Consider the following 23,357-nt stretch of genomic DNA (forward strand, 5'->3'; position numbering starts at 1 on the left):
CTCTCCTCAGCGTGGGAAGGTTCTCAGTGCCTCCTCTGTGAAAACTGCCTGCAAACTGGGATCCTCTTTCTTTTAATGTCTGTGTTGTGTTTCCCAGTGTGATGTGTCTGCAGAGGTGTTTATTAAATAATTTCATCATTTCCAGAGGGAACAGGTCTCTCCCCTGTCAGTCAACTTTGGAGCTAATGAGCAATGAGTGTCAGGCTTTTGTGGCTCCAATTGTAAATGGGAACAAACTCTCTGAGCCTAAATGCCATTTGAACAAATACAGATGTGTGGTGTAGGTACTGCACCAATAGCTGAATAGGGGCAGTTTTATTTTTGAAAAGAATAACCTTTCAAATGTCATTTGATAGCATTTATTATGTAATTGTCAGGACCAATTTATTATGCATTTAATTAGTTGTAATCTATGACTTAGTCCAAAGGTGATTCAGTATATGTACCTAAAACTTTTCCTTCCTCTTCACCAAACTACTGGAGTAACCTTACTCTTACTGCATGACTGAAATAAGGCTTTCTATGAGTTTTGCTTGTAGAACAATCTTTCTTTATATCCTGCCTCGGCCTTGCCTCCTTTTTTACTGCCGTGCCTTGCTTGAATCTTCTAACCCCAGTCCTCCTCCTCAGTTTGACTTGAACTTAGATGCAAATACCTGCTAAGGGGAGAGTGAAAAAATAATTATTTACAACATATACTGTATAAATGCCTTTATCTTAAGTATAGGATGATCATATTGCAGACTAAACCGAAGGTGATGGAAGGGACCCTTAAGTAGAAGAGGCATGTGTTGAACGCAGATGAAAATGTAATGCTTGGGAACAAATGTGCTGATCTCATAATTGAATCTATTTTCAGCCTTTTCTAAGTTTCTGATTAAATATGTGATTTTTAAAAATATGTCTATATTAGAGTTTTTAATTCTATTAGGATAAAAAGAGAGTCTGATGGGAACACATCTTCTTAATTATTATGAAAGTGAGAATGTGAGTCTAATTGATGAAAGTTCAATTAGGAAATGTGTTCTGTCTTGATTTATGCATATCTGGCCCTAAATTATCAGAAATTGACAGAATGGCAGGTTTGAAGGAGCTGAAGCCCCAGTCTGTCTCCTGCAAGATCTTGCTTCATCAGACATCCCCTTTCTCTGGTATCTTCTGTTTCTTCTAGGGTATACTCCCCTAAAAAAGTCAAGTGCTGGACCAGCTTTCCCCTTATACTACTGTCCCATCTTTCACTTCATTGCCAAACTTCTGGAAAGAATATTCTAGCCTATCCTCGTCTCCAGTGCATTCATTCCTCCAACCCATTCCAGTATGGAGCTCATTACTGGCCAAATCTAGTGGCTCATTTCCATCTCATTCTGTTTGATCTCTTCCCCAGCATTCAACAATTTTGACCATCGTCTTCTTGAAAGTCTTGGTTTCTGTATTCCTGCACCATCTTGATTGTTCCTTTCCAGTCTCCACTACCTCTGTCTTTTCCTTAAATGTAAATATGTCTTCACTCTCATCCCTCTTCTCTTCTCATCTTATTAACTTTGCCTTGATGGTTTCGTTTAGTTTAAAGTCGTCACTGCTATGTAGATGACTTCTAAATCTAACCCTGATATTGTCCTTGAGTGAGTCCAATGAGTCTAACCCTCAAATTCCTTCCTCTGGGAGTCTGAGAATCATGAGCTCATCTGGCGCAGTGGCTCACGCCTGTAATCCCAGCACTTTGGGAGGCCGAGGAGGATGGATCACTTGAGGTCAGGAGTTCGAGACCATCCTGGCCAACATGGTGAAACCCTGTCCTACTAAAAATATAAAAATATTAGCTGGGTGTAGTGCTGGGCACCTGTAATCCCAGCTACTCAGGAGTCTGAGGCAGGACAATCGCTTGAACCCGGGAGGCAGAGGTTGCAGTGAGCTGAGATCGTGCCATTGTACTCCAGCCTGGGTGACAAAAGCAAAGCTCCATCTCAAAAAAAAAAAAAAAAAAAAAAAGTAGAATCACAAACTTCTTGTTGCCCTGACCTCTTTGCAGTTCATGAAACCTACCTTTCATCCTATATGTCCTGCAAGTTTGAGGATCCCCAGTTGTTTAGGTTTGATAACTTGAAGTCAGCTTTTCAGTTCCCCCCCTGCTATTCCTCCCATAGGCACATCAATTCTGAATCCTGTAAGTTCTACTTAGTAGCAACACCCAGCTATTTCCTCTCTTTTCTACTTATGCTTCCTACCTTAATCCATGCTTCCAAACTGGCTTCCTTTCTTTCAGTTTCTTCCCCTTCCAGCTAATCCTACACAATGCTGCCAGTTGTTGTTTGTTTTGTTTTTAAATATGATCATGTTACTGTATCATCCTCTACCCCCCAAAAAACAAACCCCCAGTTACTTTTCATAGCTTGTGCCCTACACTGCAGCTGCACAGGGCTGCCCTATGCTCTTCTAGCACACACAGTACTTTCTTGGTTCAGATTTTGCTGTCCCCTTTACCTGCAGTCCCCTCGTCTCTTGCTTACCCATCTTCCACACACTTAGCCTTCAACATCTTAATCTGTCCTGTGTCCTTTTCCAGGCCATATGTGTGTGCCCCCAGTGAGAGTTCATCTTACCGCTCAATTGTTAGTCTTTGCAAGTTCCTCTATCAGAGCACTTATCTCAGTGTGCCTTATGGAATAATTTTGTCATAACTACCTCCTACCTCCCCCTACCACTGCCTGATAAATTATGAGCTTATCAAGGCAGGGATCAGCCTTTATTTCTCTCTCTACTGTCAGCACAGTGACATCTGCATGGGAGTTTTGTAATGATGGCTTTCTTCTTGAACTCGGGTTAGTAGAAAGGAAGGAAAAATCACTATATGGAAACAAATGAGATGGATGTTTCTGAGTATTACAAATCTAACACCAAAACCTAGAAATCTCTGTTGCTGTTATTGGAGTCATCCACAGAGGGCTTGATTTCTCAAGTCTGTGGTACTTGGCCATATTTTTCATACCTGTGCTGAGAATCCCTGCTTCTTGTTTTAGGAAGTCAATAAAGTAAGAAACTGCCAAAAAAAAAAAAAAAAAAGTCAACTGAATTGCTCATATGAAGTTTTGGAAGGTGACATTATCTTAGGTTTTAATCACTGAAAGTCATCCTTAAAAAAAGTTTGCCAGTCACCAATACAATGCAAGATACAGATTGAAACAGATCAGCCCTTGACCCTGCTTTTGGAATAGCAGTCCCTGATATTCAAGTCCACATGTGCAACTGTTTCATCAGTCAAGTTCATTTCATGTCTTGTGTTGGGTGGTGTCAGGATGCAGTGGGGGCAGTCAAGGATTTAGTAGTGTGTAGGATGAGTGATACCTAGTCCCATTGAGGGATGTGACAGTCAAACAGTAGTGATGTGACAAATATGTTTAGCCCCAACATAAGATAGTATACATTCATTTGTGCAAGAGAAACGCAAAGGAAATCCACGGGGGACTCACAGGAAGAAGAGACCACATCTAACCAAAATTGGAAAGGCCTACATGGAATTGATAGTTGTTAGTATAGGGCCTTGAAGAATGGATTTAATTTCCAGTGAAGGACTTCTGAGGTCTGGGGCTTGAGTGATGAGGGTGGGGCACTGTCCACAGAGTAGGGAAGTCAGAAAAAGATTTTATTTGCAGAAACAGGTGGAAGAAAGGGGAAGGGGGAGGAACAATGAGTTCTGTTTTGGACACATAGCATTTCATGTATTTTGACAGAATTGACAGCAAGCCACTGAAGGCCTGCCCCTCAGTAAAGAGTCTAGAGATATAGATTTGGAATAGTGGTTCTTAAGTCATTTGAAGTTATGGGCTCCTTTGAGAATACGATGTAAATTATAGTTTCTTTTCCCCTCAAACATGCAGTCATGTACAAAACCTTACCTAAAATTTTAGAGGACTTCTGGCCCCTCTGAAGCCCCTTTGTAGGGCCCTGGTAAAGTAATCCTGGTATGTAATAGAGAAGTCCTGAACCAGAATCTTGGGAGAGGCCATCTTTTAGGGAGTGAAGATAGGAAAGGAGCCAGAAAACGGAATGGTTACAGAGGCGAGGGAAGAGCCTGGAAAGGATTAACAGGATGTCATGGGTGTCAGTGCTGGGAGAGCTGGGGAGATGGATCACAAGCTCCCTAGGGACCTGACCCTAACTGACCTGCTTAAAGTCGGGACCTCCTTTTATTATCTTTGCAACTCTAGTGCCTAGTCCAGTGCCTGGCATACGTTTTTGTTTTTTGGGGTTTTTTTTCTTTTTGAGCCTTTATAAATCTCAGAAAATGATCTCGGGGTGACGGGGACAAACACCAGTTTGCAGGTGTTTAAAGGAAGCATAGTTGGTTTAAAAAAGAGTGGCAGGCATGTTGAGGGAAGAAAGTTTTTACCTTAGAATTTGAAAAAGGAAAATGAATATATTTGTGGAAAGAAATCTTGCCTCTTTTCAAGGCAAGAGAGAGAAGGGATCTTTTCTTGAGCAGGATCCTGAAGAAGGCAGAGGGGGATGGGATCCAGCCCAGTTTGTGGGGCAGTTTGGGAAAGGAGAAGGGACCATTATTTCTGTGAGACAGGAGGGGAAGAAAAGTTTCCAAACTGTCACAGTGGGGAATGTGGGAGTGTGCCAAAAAGGGCTTTCCTAGGAGGTAACATAAGCCTGATTGCCTTGAACAATACAAAGGGCCCCTGCTTGAAAAAGATCACTTTGTTAATATTATTGGAACTGTTCAGCCAGCTGCAGATTATCTTAGTGATTTTTATTGGCATTTGAAGTCAGAAGTGAACTTGCTGTTGCATCTATGAAATGGTGTCTGGAGGCCAAGCAAGCTGGGTCCTGACTCCGGCCAGGTCATGAATACACCATGAGTGGGCTTTTTCATTTCAGACCACCCCTTTGGCTCTCTCTGGCCTCCTGTCCCATTAGTATTTTCACCACTCAGTGTTTTCAAGTCACGACTTAACACTTTGAATTGAACTTGAGCTGTTCAGCAACAGAGTTCACCCCAAACCATTAACTTCATTGTTTCTGTGTTATGTCAATCTGGTAAGATGCGCACTTTTTTTAGTAACATTTCTATTTTGGCCAAAAATAGAAATTTATTCATTTATTTTCTTTTTAAAAATCTATTTGCTTTGCTTTTCAAACACTAGAAATTGTACTGAATTCTCATAAATTGCATGAAGCTCAATACTAGTTCTAGGTAAATGATATATTTTAATAAATGTCAGTGTTTCTGATAGTATGGCGATTTTTTTAAGGCAGAAATTAAAATCATGTATAACTGAACAGAGCCTGATAGTGCTACAGAAAGATAAAGAGTTTGATTGTTGGGGTGATAAGTTCAATGGCAAAGTTGTTCTTTTGTTGATTTTCTTTATTGTTTGCTCATTTTTTACTCAGATGGGATAATCAGAGATAATACACATATTAGATGAGAGTTTTTTAAACTGTCAATCCTAACCTATTAATGAGTCATAAAATCAATTCACTAGGTTGCAGCCAGCATTTTAAAATAGAATAGAATAGAATAAGAGCATAACATAATATGGATAAGTGTGGCTACGTGAAACATTTCTCTCCGGTGTATGTGTGTATTGGGTCATGGTGTTGAAGTGCATTGCTTACCGTTAATCGTGGTCCAAAAAGTTTGAAAAACACCATTTTAGGTAATGGTAGAATATGTAGAATAAACTGCACTTTAAGTTATTGTAGGCGTGAATATAGTCACTTAAATCTGCCTTTATAGCAGTAGGCGCACATGGATTTTCTTGAATTTTAAGTGAAGGTTTAGAGTTTATGAATAAACTTGTGGGATATAGACTCACACAAAGGAAGGCTAGGGCTAGAAGAAATGAAGCCTGAGACCTGGGTGCCAGGCTCATAGCAGCCACTGATGGGGAGACCCTGTGAGGGGACACGTTTGCAGAGCCTTTCTGGTGTGTGGTAACAAGCATGTGCCATTGGAGTCCAGTGGTCTATGTCTGAATCCAGCTCAGTCACTTACCTGCTTGGTGACCTTGGAAGTCACATAATGTTTATGTGCTTCTGTGTTCTCATCTGTAATGGAGATAATAACAGTCTCTACCCCGTTGGGGTTTTGTGAGGATTAAATGTAAAGTGCTTACGACGCTGCCTGGCACGCAGTAAGTACCCAATAAATGTCAGTTCTGTTCTTAGTGTGCCGTTTTCCCAGCAGGTGTAGAGAATAAGGATGACTACCCAGCACACTTTTGCCCAAGACTATTAATAAAGTAATCGTGATAACATGTGGGGCACTTTAAGCTCTTTCAAAGAAAGATGCTATATATAGATTAGTATTCTTATTAACAAACCATTGGTTGTACCTTGAGAAAAGACTCTTTGAAAGTCAGAGCATAATATCCAGAAAGCATGTGACCTAGAAGGGTGAGATACGGGGGGCAGTGATATGTATGAAAAGAATTCTTTAGAAATGGTTTTCCATGTTTTTCTTTCCATCTTTTGACCCTGCTCAGGCTTACTGCTTTTAGGGAAACATGGCTCATTCAGGTTTTTGTTTTTGCACTTGCCGCTTTCCTTTCACATTCTGCATGAAGCTCTTTCGCATCAAAATATTTCTGTTATTCTGTGAACTGATTAGCAGTCATATAGTTGCGAAATTTTTGTTTTCGTGTGTGTGGTGGGAGATATTTGACCTTCTTATGTCAGTCAGAAAAGACACAGGTGAGGTAACTTGCTCTTGGTAACTCTAATTTCAGGAGAGAAGCAGCTGGGTTGCACAGCCTTTGCTGTGGAGACCAGCAGCCTTCTGAGGACTGCTGGTGTAGTACATTAGATTGCATGCAAAGGATGGAAGCAAGGTCTTCCAGACAGCAGCACCTTTGTGAGCAGGGCTCATCAGCATTTGCAGGTGTTTGTTACAGCCGCCTTTGGTTTTCATAGTCTTTGCTGCTTATTTCTTTTTGCCTAGCTTTGGTGAACCACATCAAGCCCTGCCGTGTGGCTTAAACACTACCATATCTACCCCATGTCCTCTCTTGCTCTACTCCAGTTGTGCTTACTTGTAAAAAGATTTTCATAAAAGTTAGTAGAGTGCGTTATGGAGGTATATATCTTTTATGATCATTTGAATGACAGGTATAAATGATCCTATGAATGGAGAATTAACATAGGATTTTTTTGTTATTGTTGTTTTTGTTTTTTGAGACGGAGTCTTGCTCTGTCACCCAGGCTGGAGTGCAGTGGCATGATCTCGGCTCACTGCAACCTTCGCCTCCCCAGTTGAAGCGCTTCTCCTGCCTCAGCCTCCTGAGTAGCTGGGACTACAGGTGCTCACCACCACGCCCGACTAATTTTTGTATTTTTAGTAGAGACGGGGTTTCACCATGTTAAGATGGTCTCAATCTCTTGACCTTGTGATCCGCCCGCCTCAGCCTCCCAAAGTGCTGGGATTACAGGTGTGAGCCACTGCGTCCAGCCAACATAGGATGTTTTATTTTGTGCCTCAGAAATGTGGAAATTTTTATAAATTGCTTTGCAATTTTAAACGAGGCTTAAATTTAGTGGACCCTTACTTTCTGGGCTGATTATGGAATTAATAGATAAAAAGAAACAACTCATTTTCAGAGGGACACTGAAATGAAGTACACACACACATGCTTTTAGCCTAGATGTGGCCTAATGACTAAAAGTTATGTCTTAGTTATCTGTTTCCTTTTTGGGCAGGACTGTTTTTTCTTGAATCAACAGTAAACTTGGCAAATTGACACACTAGTTATGCTTTTAAGTCTCCTTCCTTCCTGCCTCCTCTAAGACTTGGTCCTCTATTCTCGTTGATCTCTCTGTCTCCACCACCTTCTCCCTCTCAGCCTTGAAATGTGCTTGGTTCTTCTCCCTATTGCCTGTCCTCTGGAACTGACATTTCACCTGGTCTCCTGTAGCATTGTTGTCTATGGTCAGAAGCGTAGAATTCCCCGCTCGCATCCATTCACTCCATAACTCATTGCAATCAGTCGTCTAGCCCGCTCACTGGAGTGGAATGATTCTTCTGAAAATGACCGAAGACCCTACAAGTTAGAAAACTTGGTAGTCTGTTAGACCATATGCCTTTCAACTGCACCATCGTTTGACTGTCAACTATCCCACCCCTTCCTTGCAAAGTGGTGCTTTTAAAATATTGAGTAGATACAAGAGGATATTTATAAAATATGTATAAAATCTAAAGAATGCTGATTGATGGAACTTTCCTTTGTCTCTCCTGAGATGTAAGCTGGGTAATTTCTTCAGTTTTATCTTCTACTTCGGCTGTGCCTGATCTGAGTTTTTGTTTGCTAAAATTTCCATTGTTATGTTTTTTTAATTATAAAAGTTCTATTTGATTGTTTTTCAGATCTGTTTGGCCATTATTTATAATCTCTTCTTCTGTGCTCAGATTTCTCATCCTCTTTTTGACTTCCGAAAGCACATTAAATGTAATTTATAATATGCATCTGATGATTACAATACCCGAAGTCTTTGTGGACTTTTCTACCACAGGTGTGTGTGTTTGCTGGCTCATGGCACTTTGTTTCTGATGTGGGTGTGTCTTGTGATTATTGCCTGCAAATTCCTCTTCCTTGGAAGTTTATCTGTGGGAATACTCTGAGCATATGACTGAAGGCAATTTTACCAAGAGAGGATTTGTGTTTCTTTCTGCCAGGCATCTTGAAGCATGACTGGTTTGGGACGCTTATGAATTAAATTCTCAGGTTGGATGTTTTTGGGACCATCCAAGTTTTGTGAGTTTCGTCCACATACTACTTAAGGGCTGACTTGTGACTACAAATTTCTAGTGGGGGATGGTGGCAGGGATTTGTTTCCTCCCTTGCTTAGCACCAATAATCTAGACAGGAAGGTTCTCTTGAAGTCCCCAGGTGGTCCTTTCCCATGCATCCTTCCCCTGAGTGTAGCACTTGGGAGGTTTCCTCATTTTGGTTTGGCCAGGTCTTCAGGCCCTATCTCCTGTGCCCCAAGAGGCCATGAAAACCAGTTCTGGAAGTGGCCTGAAAGTGAAAGCCAGTGTGTTCCTCTTGCTGTCTGCATTCCTGTTTGCAGTTAGTTTTTGGCTTCTGAGTAAAAAAGTCTCTGTTATATCCAGCATTTTTAGGTGTTTTCAGCAGAAGTCCCATTATGGTATAAAGACCATCACATTTGCAGACACCTCTCCCTCTTTTTTTTGAAACCTAACTTTCCCCATAGCTTCTGAGATCTAAGTCCTCTGCCTCTCACTTCTTTTCTGGCTCCTCTGCATCCTTCTACCATCTAGACATGGGTTTTCTACAAAAGTCTGTCCTTGCTCTGAATTATGCCCTGGGCAAACTCATGTCCACGAACAGTGCCTTTCTAAGCATGGCTTCCAAATATAAAGCATGGCTTTATATTTCCCTGTAGCTGTTATAGAACTTCAAGCAACACCAAAAGATCTGTTTAAAATGACTCTCATATGCCCCAGAAACCCACTCCTCTGTGTTCCCAGTTACTCTTAATGATATCATTGTCCTCTTGTTCATTCAAATTTGAACATTCGAAATCAAGGCCATCAGAGGTTTTCATTTCTTCCTTTTCTTGTTTTCTTTTTTTTTTTTTGAGACAGGGTCTTGCTCTGTCACCCAGGGTGGAGTGCAGTGGTGTGATCACAGCTCACCGCAGCCCGCAGGTGCATGACTCTACACCTGGCTAATTTATTTTTCTTTTCTTTTAGATGGTGTCTCACTGTGTTGCCCAGGCTGACCTCAAACTCTTGACTTCAAGAAATCCTACTGCCTCTGCCCCCTAAAGTGCTGGGATTACAGGCATGAGCCACCATACCTGGCCCCTGTTTCGTAGCATGTACTAAATCCAGGGGATTCTGCCTCCCCAGCCTGACTTAATTCATATCTTCATCTCCTCTCTTCTAAACTGTTGGAACATTGTTAGGAGGTCTTTCTACCTCCATTCTGTCTCCTATCCCTTGCCCGCAAACTTCAACCAGTTCCTCCCTCTCTGTCAGTGTGAAGGCAGACCTCTGTCTCTTTCACAGTGTGGCCCACCTCTCTCCGTTGTTTGTTATCCGTCTTCACTCAGTGGAGTTGAGTGTAGACTGAGATGTTCGCCAGTGGCCATATATTCTCTGAGTTTGGCTGCCATTTGTGCCTTTTTGTTGTCGTCTTGTCCAGAGTTGTCTTATCCTTCCAGGGTAGTTCAGATACCAACAACGTCCCTCCAAGCCCCATCTGTCAAGAAGTTATCTGGGCATTCTCTGGGCCTCATAGTACTTTCTCTCTCCCACCTGTGGCACTTGCTGCTATCCTCTCTATATGCCCTCCTCATCTCTCTCCTTTGGATGACTTCCAACTCCTTAAAAACAGAGGCTGTGTCTTCCTTGCCTTTTTCTCCACTTCATACCTTGTTCATAGTAGAGCCTCAGTAAATGTTTATCGAGTGAATATACTAATGTAAACAGAGCGAATTAATCGGAATCAGTAGCAACCAAGACATCAATGAGAATATTCTGCTTTTTAGAAATAGCATTTATTCAATAAATATTTACTTTTTAATTTAAGTTGTAAATAGGTAATATATGTTCATGATTGACAATTCAGGAACTGTAAAAGGGTATACAGGAAAAAATCTCCCTCCCGGCACACTTCAGCTACCTCATTGCCCTCCTCATAGACAACCCAGGTTTCAGTTTATTGTGTCTCCACCCAGTGATAGTTTAGGCCTATACACTTAACTGATTCACATGCCTTCCCCCTTAACCCTAATGGTAGAGAGCTATATACACTGTCATGTACCTATTTCCATCCACCAATAGACATTGCCCAGTGAATGTGCTTCTCCACCCTATGATCTTCATTCCATGTACTACCTTAATTCCTCATTGCCATATATGGTAACGTAACACAGGTTTGAGGGATTAGGACATGGACATCTTTGGGAAGACATTCTTCTTCTTATTTTTTTAAACAGAGTCTTGCTCTGTTGCCCAGGCTGGAGTGCAGTGGCACAATCTCAGCTCACTGCAACCTCCGCCTCCCGGGTTCAAGCGATTTTCGTGCCTCAGCCTCCCAAGTAGCTGAGATTATAGCGTGGGCCACCACACCCGGCTAATTTTTATATTTTTAGTAGAGATGGGGTTTCGCCATGTTGGCCAGGCTGATCTTGAACCCCTGACCTCAGAGGTGATCTGCCCTCCTCAGCCTCCCAACATGCTGGGATTACAGGCATGAGGCCCAGCCCTGGCTGGGAGGTCTTTATTCTGCTTACCATAGCAACCCAGTATGTTTTCTGATCTTTTAATCTTTTTCAATCTAATAGGTGAAAATGTAGCTTCCAGTTTTATTTTGCATTTATCTTGTATGAGTAAAATTGAATATCTTTAGGTTTGAGCTATTTGTATTTGCATTTCTCCATTCTCTGTATCTTCTACCTATTTTTTGTTTGGATGTTTGGTCTTTTTCTTGTTAGTTGTACGTACTTTTTGTGTAATAGCTATAGTGATGTTTAATATGAGTGACTAATATTTTTCCTGTATGTTTTTTGACTTTATGATGGATTTTGCTATGGAGACTTGTTTTCTATTTATTTGGTAGCATTTGAGAGTCTGTGTTGAGGGGCTCTAAAACCACCCCCACGTGTGGTGATTCGATAACAGGACTCACTGGACTCATATTGTACTCACAGGTATGGCTTATTACAGCACAAGGATACAAAACAAAACCAGCAAAGAGAAAAGGCACATAGGTTGAAATTCGGGGGAAACCAGGCACAGGCTTCCAGAGTTCTTGTCCAGTGGAATCAAACAGGATGCACTTAATTCCTCCAGCAATGAGTTGTGCAGCACATATGAGATGTTGCCCACCTGGGAAGTTCATTGGAGACTTTGTGTCCACAGTGTTTATTGGGGCTGGCCATGTAAGCACCCACTGCCTAGCACAAGCAAAATTCCAGGCTTCCAGAAGAAAAGCAGGAGTTCAGTGTAAACCACATTGTTTATACAAACAGTTTGGGCACAGTGAACCAATCTTACCAGTGAGGGAATGGTGAGAACTCTGCTGAAATCCAGATTACCAAGTGTCTGGCAAGGGCCAACCATGTATGCAGGCCTTTCTAAGGAGGGCAGCCTCAGGCCTGCCATGTTAATTCTTCTGCACACTTTTCTTTTATAGCTTCTGAGCTTTCTATCCCAATTAGGAAGATCTTCCCTACTCAGACTTCTAAGGAATTATCTCAGCCAGGCGTGGTGAGTCACGCCTTGCAATCCCAGCACTTTGGGAAGTCGAGGCAGGCAGATCACCTGAGGTCAGGGATTCGAGACCAGCCTGGCCAACATGGTGAAACCCTGTCTCTACTAAAAATACAAAAATTAGCTGGGTGTGGTGGCACATGCCTATAATTCCAGCTACTCACGAGGCTGAGGCACGAGAATTGCTTGAACCTGGGAGGCAGAATTTGTAGTGAGCCGAGATTGCTCCACTGCACTCCAGCCGGGGCGACAGAATGAGTGAGACTCCATCTCCAAAAAAAAAAAAAAAAAAAAAAAAACAAATAAAATAAATTATCTCATATTCCTCTAGTAATTTGGTTTCTTCCTTAAGATTTAAGTATTTCATCTATTTGGAATTTATTTGGAGTTAAAGTATAAGATATGAATCCAACTCTTTCTTCCCCTCTTGTTGCAATATCATTTGTTGACTAGTTTGCTGATTTGAAGTACTGTCCTTATCTCACACTAAATTCCTCTGCATGTTTGATTTTATTTCTAAGAGGTTCTCGTTGCATTAATTATTCTATTCATGCACCAGGTGTGCTCTTTTAACTATTGAAGCTGTATAAGATGTTGCACTGTATGGTAGAACGAGCCTCCCCTTGTTCCTCTTCTTTTTCTTTTCCTTTCTATTGTTGCTTAAGCAATTACAGAATGCTACATTATGGCTGTGCTCAGGGATCTAGAGCTGATACCCACTTCCTGTTCCCAAGGAGTGCTGTTTTCCTGGGTAATGCAAACAAACAGATGCATATGATACAGTGGTGCACAGGATGTCACAGGAGCACAAAGGAGGGCTTCCTAGAGGATTCAGATTCTGCAAGATGAGTAGGAGCATTTGTCAGGCAGAAATTGACATGTCATACTGAAGGAACAGTCTGTGGGCATGCAAAGAGGCCGCACAGATGCAGGCTGAACTCACATGCAGTTTGGTGTCCGGGAGCACAGCGTGCATGTGGGGGTACCAACAGGAGATAGTGCTGGGGGCAGAGGAGGCTGGGTCAAAGATTGCAGAGCCTAACATTCCCCACTCAGAATGTCTGCTTTTTATCTGAAGGTGAAGGGAGCCATTTAATGGTTTTAAGCAGGAACGTGGCATGATTAAATTTCCATTTCAAAAAGATTGCTGGGCTGCAGTGTGTGCAGAGTAGGTGGAGGGGACGGGAGTGGAGGAGAGAGGAAGACCATTTCTGGGGATTTTTGCTAGTCACCCCAGTCCTTGATGATGAGGGCTTGAAGTGGGGCAATGGACAGGGACTCCAGATGATGCTTTTGAGAAAGATTCAGATGGTAAAATCAGTAGAATTTGGTGGTTGACTGAATGTAGTTATGAGGGAGGATGGGATGATAGGGAAGAATCCACCCTGGATAACCAGACCGATGGTGGGGCCAGTGGTTGAGATGGGGAACATAGGAGGGGAGTGAGGAAGAGGTGGCAAGTTCCATTTTGGTTATGTTGAGTTGAGAGTGTCTGTGAGACAGCCAGGCAGAGATACCTAGGAGACAGATGACCACATAGATCCAGAGCTCTGGCCTGGGGAGAGCTTTATTTGGTACTCCTGGATCACATCCACATCACATCACTAGCATTTTCATAGATGTGGCCAAAATTGCCAGGAGAGAGAACTACAGTGAGAAGAGGGACAATGTATGAACCCTCAGAAATCTCAGCCTTAAATGATTATGATAGTGGACAAGTTGTAAAGAATATTCTTTTTTCCAAAATAGTTTCAAATGACATTTCAAATGTACATTTGTGGTCCTTTCGTGAACAAATAAATAGGTACGTTTATATATGAAGACAATGATGACACAGGAATATCAAGCCATTTCCCCCAGAGGTACTGATTTAGTCAGTAGTAGAAATAGGATTAGGAGAACTGTTTATGCAAACAGAAGTATAATTGGTAATCTATGTGCTAGCTGCTTTTGACCTGTTATCTTTTGTCAGGTTTTTGGAATAACTGCGTCAAAACTGATATAAATGAACTTACTGTGTCAAGTCGTGTGAAATATACAGAAAGCATTATCTAGCATTAGGGCATTAGAATTATAAACTTTACCACATATCAGTACGTCCTATGGTTCTTTAAAATTTTAGGCTTTCCCCTCCAATTTTAATGAAAGCATTTTTTTCTTACATGATCAAGTCTTGTTTCTAAAGTTTAAAAGATGAAAATGAGGTAATTTTACATTACTGTACCCTTAAATGGTAGATGGAAGCTTTTTAAAAAGATGAGTGTCTTTAATTTCAGAAATCAAATTCAAAAAAAAAAAAAGCTAGCTTCAATTCCTGTTCAAACGTTGCAAAATTTAATCCAGAAAGAAGCAGTTGGGCCAGATGCCGTGGCTCACGCCTGTAAGCCAAGCACTTTGAAAGGCCAAGGTGGGTAGATTGCCTGAGCTCAGGAGTTCAAGGCCAGCCTGGGCAACATGGTGAAACCCTGTGTCTACTAAAATACAAAAAAAAATTAGCTGGGCGTGGTGATGTGTGCCTGTAGTCCCAGCTACTCTGGAGGCTGAGGCACGAGAATTGCTTGAACCCAGGAGGCGGAGGTTGCAGTGAGCCAAGATGGCACCACTGCACTCCAGCGTGGGCGATAGAGCCAGGACTCTGTCTCAAAAACAAAAAGAAGCAGTTAGTAAGTGGTTCCCTGAAGTTTTAAGTTTAGGTATTTGGAGACATAGGTCATTAAGAGTCATCTTCCTGAAAAATCACATTCATCAGTTGTGCCATTGGGTGCTGTTAACATCATTTGAAAACACTTTTAAATGTTCATAGTTTATCAATTTATTCCCCTGATTATGAGCTGGAGAGAGCCTATGACAGTGACAGACAGCTGTCCGTCCTCAAAGGAAACTCAAGAATTAACATTTATAGATTCTGTTTAAATAAACAAAAAATCCAATCTAGATGTTTTAAGGAAATCAGTGCATCTTTATATAGGTGCCATTTAAAAATAATGGCTAATTAAGTGAAAGCTAAAATCTGTTGTCATTTCAGAGACTTTACCCCCACAAGTTACAATGATAAATGTAGCTAAATTAAAATGACAAGTTATATTCCCTATGTCAGAGCTGTTTTTATCCCTGGTGTGAAATCAGAGAGTTTCATCTCAAGTTTGTCCTTTAACATTTTTCAAATGTTACATTGTGCTATTTTTAATCCGGAAACAATGCACATGATTGCTTTAAAAAAAAAAAGTCTCCATGTACAGTATCTCTTGACTAGTACGGATCTAGTGAATTGTGAATTGATGAAATGCCCAAATACTAATATAGAGCAAAATTAAGGAAGACATGACTTGCTCACTTGAGGAAGGTGAGGGTGGCCATTTGAGAGTATCTTCTGTCAGTTTCCTGATTTTGATATTGTGCTAAAAGTTATACAAGATGTTAACACCTGGAGAGGCTGGCTGAAGATTTACTTCTTGTGAATCTATAATTATTTCAAAATAATCTAAAACAAACTAAAGTAGCTCCCCAACAGCTTGACCACACAGAATCCTTAGGCTACATTCCTGAGAGTTCTGGTACATCCCACATGGCCCTTCTAGGACCAAGGAGGTAGAAAGTCACCCCCTAGAGATTCTGATTCAGTAGGGGTGAGGCAGGGCACAGGGCATGGTTTAGCCTCTGGAAAAAGCAGCCCACTTCACCCCCAATTCTGAGGCAGAGCCGTAGATAAGGACCACACCCTAGAAGAAAGCCACGTAGGACTTGCTGAAGCATCTACTGAAAGGTGATGCTCAGCAAAACATCTTCTCTGTCCTAAGACTTTGCTCAATTGGGACTGAATCGTTCTTGAATTTTCCATAGTCGATGAAATCAGTACTTGGACGTGTTCATTGAGTAAGCTTTATCATTACCCATTTAGCAAACAAGACGCGCTTGATGGTTATAGTGGAAAATACTTGAGAGCCAGCTCTCTCCATGTGATTTAGAGTTCCCAAATTAAGGGTCAAAATTGACCCAAGGTTATATTTAAGAATAATAGTTGAAAGTGTCAACACATTAATAAAGTGTTAAAGAATACATTGTCTGGAAGAGAAAGTAAATGACAGCTAAAAACCTCAAGACGTATAACCTATTCACTTCAGGTTTTAACAATTTTGAAATAGGAGCTTTAATTAGGCTTGTAACAAGTTACCACTTGTAGGGGATTTTATGCTTTTTGATAATGAGGTACAGATGAATGTGTTTTGTTATTGCTTTATTTTTGTTTTTGTAATAATCCAACTTTATGTTACTCTGAGAGCCTATATTCTCTTAATCTTTAAGAAAAAAAGAAAATATATCTGAAAAGTAGGTCCTCGTACTTTCAAGTTCAGAAAATGGTGGTATTGGCTCTTTCAGACTGCTCACTTCAATTGAGCCAAGTAGCTTATGGAAAACTTAGTTTTTAAATAAAAACACCACATAAACACTACCTAGTAATGCTTTTTGAAAAATGTTTTTCTGTGTTTGTAAGCTAATTTATTTGAATGGTGAAAATATTGGTTTAAGCACCCAGTCTTTTCTACCCTAAGCTCCAATTTAATATTAGATGTGTTGCTATGTGCTTCACGAGGAGAAATATTTGGCTGTTGTGCGATTCATAATTCTTCCTGAAATATCTGGGGTCCAAGCCTGGCTCTTAGCATCAAGAGTAAACTGGGAGTTGTTTTTGTCACCAATTCTAATAGACATGTTTCGGGTTAAAGGATACCAGTTAGTTGACTCATTCTGGATATTAGTCAGAATGTGAAGTATCATCATAGAAGTGATCTCATCAGAGAGTCCATCTGATGTGTGGTTACCATGGGGACATTGTCTCAGTCTCATACTAATGACAAAAAAAAATTGATGTTGCTTCTGTTCAGGTTCTTTTATAAAACATATTAAGGAAGTTAGGTAGATAATTTTTGTTTAGGCCATATAGCTTTGATTTTCTGATAACAATTTTATAAACTTAGAAATTTTCATGTAAGATACAGGAATACTGGAAGCAAAAAAAAGAAGGTGCTTTAACCTTAGGGATTGAAAAAATAGTAATTTAGGTTGAAAATGCTGCTTGAAAGTTAATGCTGATAGCATTACTACACATGATGATTTTTTCTGGAAGGAAAGCTTTATCTGGGCCTTCAATTTAGGAATTTTTCTCTTTGGTTTTTAAAAGCTGCCATATTCACTTGAGCTTCATGGGAAAGATGCAAATAACTAAAACAAATGAACAAAAACCATGTTGAGGTCAGGAACTTATTTCAAGAAAGCAAGTTCTAGGTTTTCTTTTAAAGTGACAGTAGAGCCTTAGGCCTCAAACCATCTACAACCATGTTAACAGTACATCACTCAAATCATTCAACATTCCTGAATGTTTACCTGTGCCAAGTACTGACCAGCGCAGTATCAGATGTTCACAGTAATGATATATTGCCAAGAGAATGCTTAGGCATGTCCCATATATTCTGTTTATGGATAAAGGAGTGCACCAAACATTTTAGTGCTATTTTCGCCCAAAGTCCCTCTGTCTTTAATTTAAACTTAACAGAAATCACTTATTTTTCCCAGTGGTACTGAATAATTATGCATTGCTGTGGATTCAGTGTCAGGTTAAAGCCTCAGTGCATCGCTTAGCTAGGTCAGCATCATTACCAGTGTGTGCTTATCATGCCAGCCATCCAGAATAAACAGCACTTGGGCCTAGCGCTGCCAGAGTTGAGACCTGCAGAGTGTGCTGCATGCCTGGGAAAGTTTGAGAAGACATTGTGGAGAGCATGTTCTTGGGCAGTTTTCACCTTAAACCTCTTGCCATTCACATGCAGAAAACTGTTGCTGCTGAAAGATGCTTTTCCAGAAATACACTGTGTTGTAGGGGAGGGAACACTGGTGTTCAAAGTGATTAGTCTGATGACAGAGGAAAATGGTTGGGGAGGGAGCTACATAGAGGAAAAGTGCCCAGACGCAGCGCCTCCAGAGAAGATGGTTGTACAGGGGCTGTGTGGGCCTTCATGTCTTCATTCGGTCAGCGAGCCTGTGTTCTGCCTCCCTCTGACCAGGCGCCATTGTAGTTACTGGGGATAAAGGATGGGAATGAAGCAAGTGTGTACTTTCATGGAGCCCATGTCCTAGGGGAGGGGATAGTACATATGTACAGTGAACAAGTACATATGTAATATGTCAAATGGTCATAAGTGATAGGGAAAATCAGATGGGAATAGGGAGTGCTGTTGTGAGGGTAACATGTTTTTTTGTAGGGTGTCGGAGAAGGTCTTACTGATTAAGATTATTGGATCAGAGATGTGAGAGAAGACAAGAAGCCATGAGGTAAACGAATTCCAGGCAGATGGAATAGTAGCCGCAAAGGCCCTGAGAGTGGCATGTGCTTGGTGCCTTTAGGGAGTGGCACAGGAGGCAGGTGTGACTTACGTGGAGCGAGTGAGTCTGAGAGCAGAGATGTGGCGGGGGAGATGGCCAGATGGCAGACAGCTGCATAAGCCATTGGAAGGACTTCCACCTTTACTCCTCGCAAAGTGGAAAGCTACGGGAGGATTTGGGGCAAGGAAAGGACTTGATCTGACCTATGACACTGTCACTCTGACTTGAGAAGTACAAAGATGAAAGCAGGGGAGCAGTTAGGTTTTTATAATCAACCAAGTAAGAGATGATGGTGGCTTGGACCTGGGTGGTAGCCACGTGGTGACAAAGATGAATCCAAGGTTTTCAGCTCAATCAGCTGGAAGTCATGTACTGAAATGGGGAGACTGTGGGAAGAGCAGGACTGGGTAGGGGGAGCCAAGAGTGTTTGGCTTTGGTTGTGTTAACTTGAGAGTTCTTCAGATGCCTCTTAGGCAGTCTGGTGGGGTGGTAGAGTGGACACTTGGATAGCCAAGTCTGGAATTCAGAGGGGATGCTGGAGAATGATAGGTCCTTACTAGTCACTAGAGTATGGATGGTATTTGAAGCTATCAAATGTATCAACAGCACGTTGAGGGTGAGTATATATAGAGAAGAGGTGAGAGGTCTGAGTCCTGCCATTTCACAGAAACCAGGGCATTGATTCAGAATTCACAGAGAACAGTTAGCTCAGAGTTTTCTTAATATCCTATCTTTTTAAAAAATAAACATGTCATTGTTCCCTTTTGAGACAGTTGCACCGTTTAACAATAATTCCTGAATTTTATTTTTCTTCCTTTCCTTCTTTCTTTTTAGTGGCTTGTACCTGATCAATTGCTAATACTGTTTAAAATTGATAGGCACTTTTTGGTCTGGTAATCTGATTTTTTTGTGGAACATCATTAAAAGAACAATTGAGAGATTTATAGCCATAGAAAATTGAGGCTTCTATTACTCAAGATAGAAGTTAGCGTAAGTCTGATCTGAGTTTTCCACTGTTTTTTTTTGTTGTTGTTGTTATAAGCCTTGGTGTGGGTTGTAATTTCATGGTCGGCAAATCTGGTGAAATTTATTTTGCGAGAAATCAAAAGATGTACTATAATAGTAGACTGTTCCTTCACGCTGAACTTTATTTATTTTTTGCCTTTTCTAGCCATTATTTGCATTTTTAAATGAAGAAAAGTTTAACGTGGATGGATGGACAGTTTACAATCCAGTGGAAGAATACAGGAGGCAGGTAAGATGTTAGATGCTATTGTCTGGTATGTGATGAACCTGAAACATGCATTATGACAGTATGTCATCAGCCATGCTTTCTGAAAATCAGCGACATCCTTGCTAAATATCTTTTCAATGGTGGTGATATTATCCACATTTTGTACAATATATCTCATTCTATCTATTACTGTATAACTTATAAGCTCATTCCATTGCCATATGCAAGCTGCATCGAAGACTGGGTCACTAAATCCTATTTCCTTCCCTATATGAAGAGCATCAATTCTGTGTTGTTTATGAAATGAATTAAATACTTAGGATTTAGAAAAGTCAAACATTTTAGAAGTTACACTTTAGGACTTGATATTGCTATGTATATGCATGTTTGGGAGCTTAACTATTACCTGCAGTTAGATTTAAATTATATTCATTTCAGTTTGCAGATTCAAATGAATTAGAACTGTTTTCCTGTAGTGATGTCTTTTTCAAGGAAGCTTTGATAAGTGTACATTATAATTGTCTTTACTGTTCTCTTATATGAATGTCACCTACATGCATGTTTATTTGCTATAATAAAGGCAAGAGGCTTGGTCTCATATTGCTGTTCAGGAACAAAAGTCTCTTGCAGTATTTTTGTTAAGGGAATTCTGTGCATAATATGTAACAAGAGCCACAGTTTGACCTCTGGTATAACCAAATCTGTAGGCAGCTAGGAGTTGTGTGATGGGATTATTCACAATTCTTGTTCTACAAAGCTCTTAAGATAATTGAAAAGTTTTGTTGAATGAGATTTGAGAATCAGATCAAACCCATTTGCTTTATATGAAAAGGTAGTGAATATAAAGTAAAATCGTAGAACCCTAGACTTGAGAAGAACCATCTAGTCACCACCTTCACCATGAAAAACCTGGATTGGTTTCCTTTTTTAGTCTTAATCAACGGTTTGCATATTCATGAACAGATTTGACGCTCTGGAATTTGGGTGCAGGAGTTTAGCTTTAGAACATATGTGACATAGTATATCCTGTTGCTTCCATAAGTCACGTTTAGACTGTTGAGTTTTCTAAGGCTTTGCACTACTCCCATTTTAATGGCCTCAGTTCTGGACTAGCTACTGAGGCGGAAGAAGGACCATGAAAACATTTTGCATGTTTTGGAGACCTCTGTAAATGATGTATTAAAATATTTTTACCTTCTTTTTGAAGTATTACTGATAACATTAAGACTTTTTTTTAGTTCAAAGCTTCTAGCTTGAAACAAAACAGTTCCTGTTTTTAAGATTGCATGCATATATGAACTGTTGAAGGTATTTTGTTCTAGACTGCCATTATATTCAATCTTTTTTTCTTATAACTTTCTGATGGGACTTATAACTGTCTAATTGGACTCAGCATCAGACTCAACATCTGTTTGGTCCGTGGTCTCTAGGGCCAGACCTAAAGAAAAGGTACAATGTCTGTCCCCAAAGCAAACACCCACATAGCTCACTTTTGTGTGTGTATCTGTGCATTTGTGAGAATGGGGAGAGAATATTCCACCACCTCTGGATCTTTTCCATACTAAATACAATTTTGTGGGGGAGATGATAGGATGGGAGGTGTCTTCTGTGTCTCCCTGTCACATTAGCAGTCTGCTTAAAATGCAAATGACTGTATTTCTCACACAAACTATAGGGCAATCATCGATTCCGAACAACTTGATTGAAAAAAAACTCATCGGAGGTGGCGAAATGAGCCTCCCCAGAGGGATCTTCCTTTACTTCCCCTCATGATTTTCTTCATGAGCTCAGCCTCTTTCCACTTTGGAGCAGACTGAAGCATTCACTCTATTTTGAGCAGGGAGAGGAAGTTGCCTGATCTCTTTTCTACCCTCAGTTAGAGCCAGATTAAGATGAAGCAGGGTATTTTTTTAGGGGATGGGAGGGGTGCATGGGCGGGGGATGAACTTGGGTTTATCTGTGTGGTACAGGTAGTAAAGAATATGTGGACACAAAATAAAGGAAGACGAATTCCTTTGAATTCAAGAGAATCTGTATTTACAAAGTATAGTTTAGAACTGTAAAAACCACCAGTGTTTTGTCTTGTGTTCTTACGTTGTCTGGATTATTGATTTGGCACCCTTATTATAAATAGGTAGACCGTCATCACCCTGTGGTCAAAGAGGCATGTGCACATATTGCTAGAAGGAAGAAAAGAGGCCCAAGGCCAAATCCAGAGATGAGGTCAAGCAATACTGACTTGAATTTCTTTTTTTCCTCACAGGGCTTGCCCAATCACCATTGGAGAATAACTTTTATTAATAAGTGCTATGAGCTCTGTGACACTTACCCTGCTCTTTTGGTGGTTCCGTATCGTGCCTCAGATGATGACCTCCGGAGAGTTGCAACTTTTAGGTCCCGAAATCGAATTCCAGTGAGTACTGCAATTAACGTTTCTCTTGAAGAGCACCTTTTAGTCCATAAGAATGGTAGTCATATAACTTAGAGAAACGGTCCTTTTGGAATTCTATCCCAAAAAATACTTACTAAGTGCTTTGTGAGTACAAAGTACCATACCAGACTGGAGAAGAAGTGTGCCGTCACCTGCCTTCTAGGAGCTTGCAACTAAGGATCAAGAATGAACGCAAGTAAAGAGCTCTCTACGAGAGAGGGGCTGCAAGTAATGGGAACCAAGTGCTGTGTGGAAGGAAGCAAGGAAAGACAGGCTCTTTGTGGCTTTTGTCTTTGTGGCACAGTACATGATACTATATGATAGGCTCTTGATAAATGTCAGATAAATCATGCTGGAAAGAACACACTGTCTTGTTATAAAATGTGTCAGCACAGACTTTGACATACACTCACCACGAGCTCACCCCCATCACCTTTGCAGGCTGCCCCAATACCATTGTCTAACTGGAGTCAAGTATAGATTATTCCAGACACTATCCATACGGTATCACTGCACCTAGTTCACAAAGCTCTCTTTTGGTCCTTAAATATTAATGGACATGTGATACTATCTAACATTGACAAAAATTGACTAAAAATTTAGGTATTCTCCCCTGCTAATTTTCAGGGTCTGTCATAAGTACCTTGGGGTTTTTTTTTTCCCCTAATAAGTAAATGTTTAAAAACAAAGGTTGAAGAAATTAAGACTTAATGTCACCTTGCCTTTTTCAAGTCTAGACATTTTTTTTCCTTAAAAGGATATTTGTGCAAAACTTTTGTATTGTCAGCCTAATATGAATTGTAATTTTTTTTAATTCACTTGTTATACACTTCTAGCCATAAAACCGCAGAAGTGATGCTGTGTTCTCAGTGCACCACCTTAGGAGACATGCTGTTGATTTGTCCCGTTATTAGTGATGTTAACTGTGATTATTCTGCTAAGGCAGTGTCTGTCATGTTTTTCCACTATAGCACTACTATTTTACCCATTAAAATTAATAAATGCTTTATGTAATGATTTTTTTAATTCACTTGCTTCTCCAGTTAGTAGTGTCTGTTCATATCTTCGCGATA

At 40.6% G+C, this 23,357-nt stretch overlaps 1 protein-coding gene across 15 annotated transcripts in view; it reads left to right on the top strand.

Moving 5' to 3' along the window:
* MTM1 (myotubularin 1) overlaps positions 1 to 23,357 on the top strand; it is a 110,491-nt gene that overhangs the window by 56,500 nt on the left and 30,634 nt on the right. For 14 of the 15 annotated variants that reach the window (XM_047442132.1, XM_011531172.2, XM_047442133.1 and 11 more), the window contains 2 exons: positions 19,791 to 19,874; positions 22,117 to 22,266. In XM_047442132.1, the coding sequence (XP_047298088.1) occupies positions 19,791 to 19,874; positions 22,117 to 22,266 (234 nt within the window). Of the gene's footprint in view, positions 1 to 6; positions 19,610 to 19,790; positions 19,875 to 22,116; positions 22,267 to 23,357 lie in introns of those variants that run through there. The other variant, XM_017029551.3, reaches the window with a different exon arrangement.

The sequence above is a fragment of the Homo sapiens genome, chromosome X, assembly GCF_000001405.40.
Source record: "Homo sapiens chromosome X, GRCh38.p14 Primary Assembly".
NCBI lineage: Eukaryota > Metazoa > Chordata > Mammalia > Primates > Hominidae > Homo > Homo sapiens.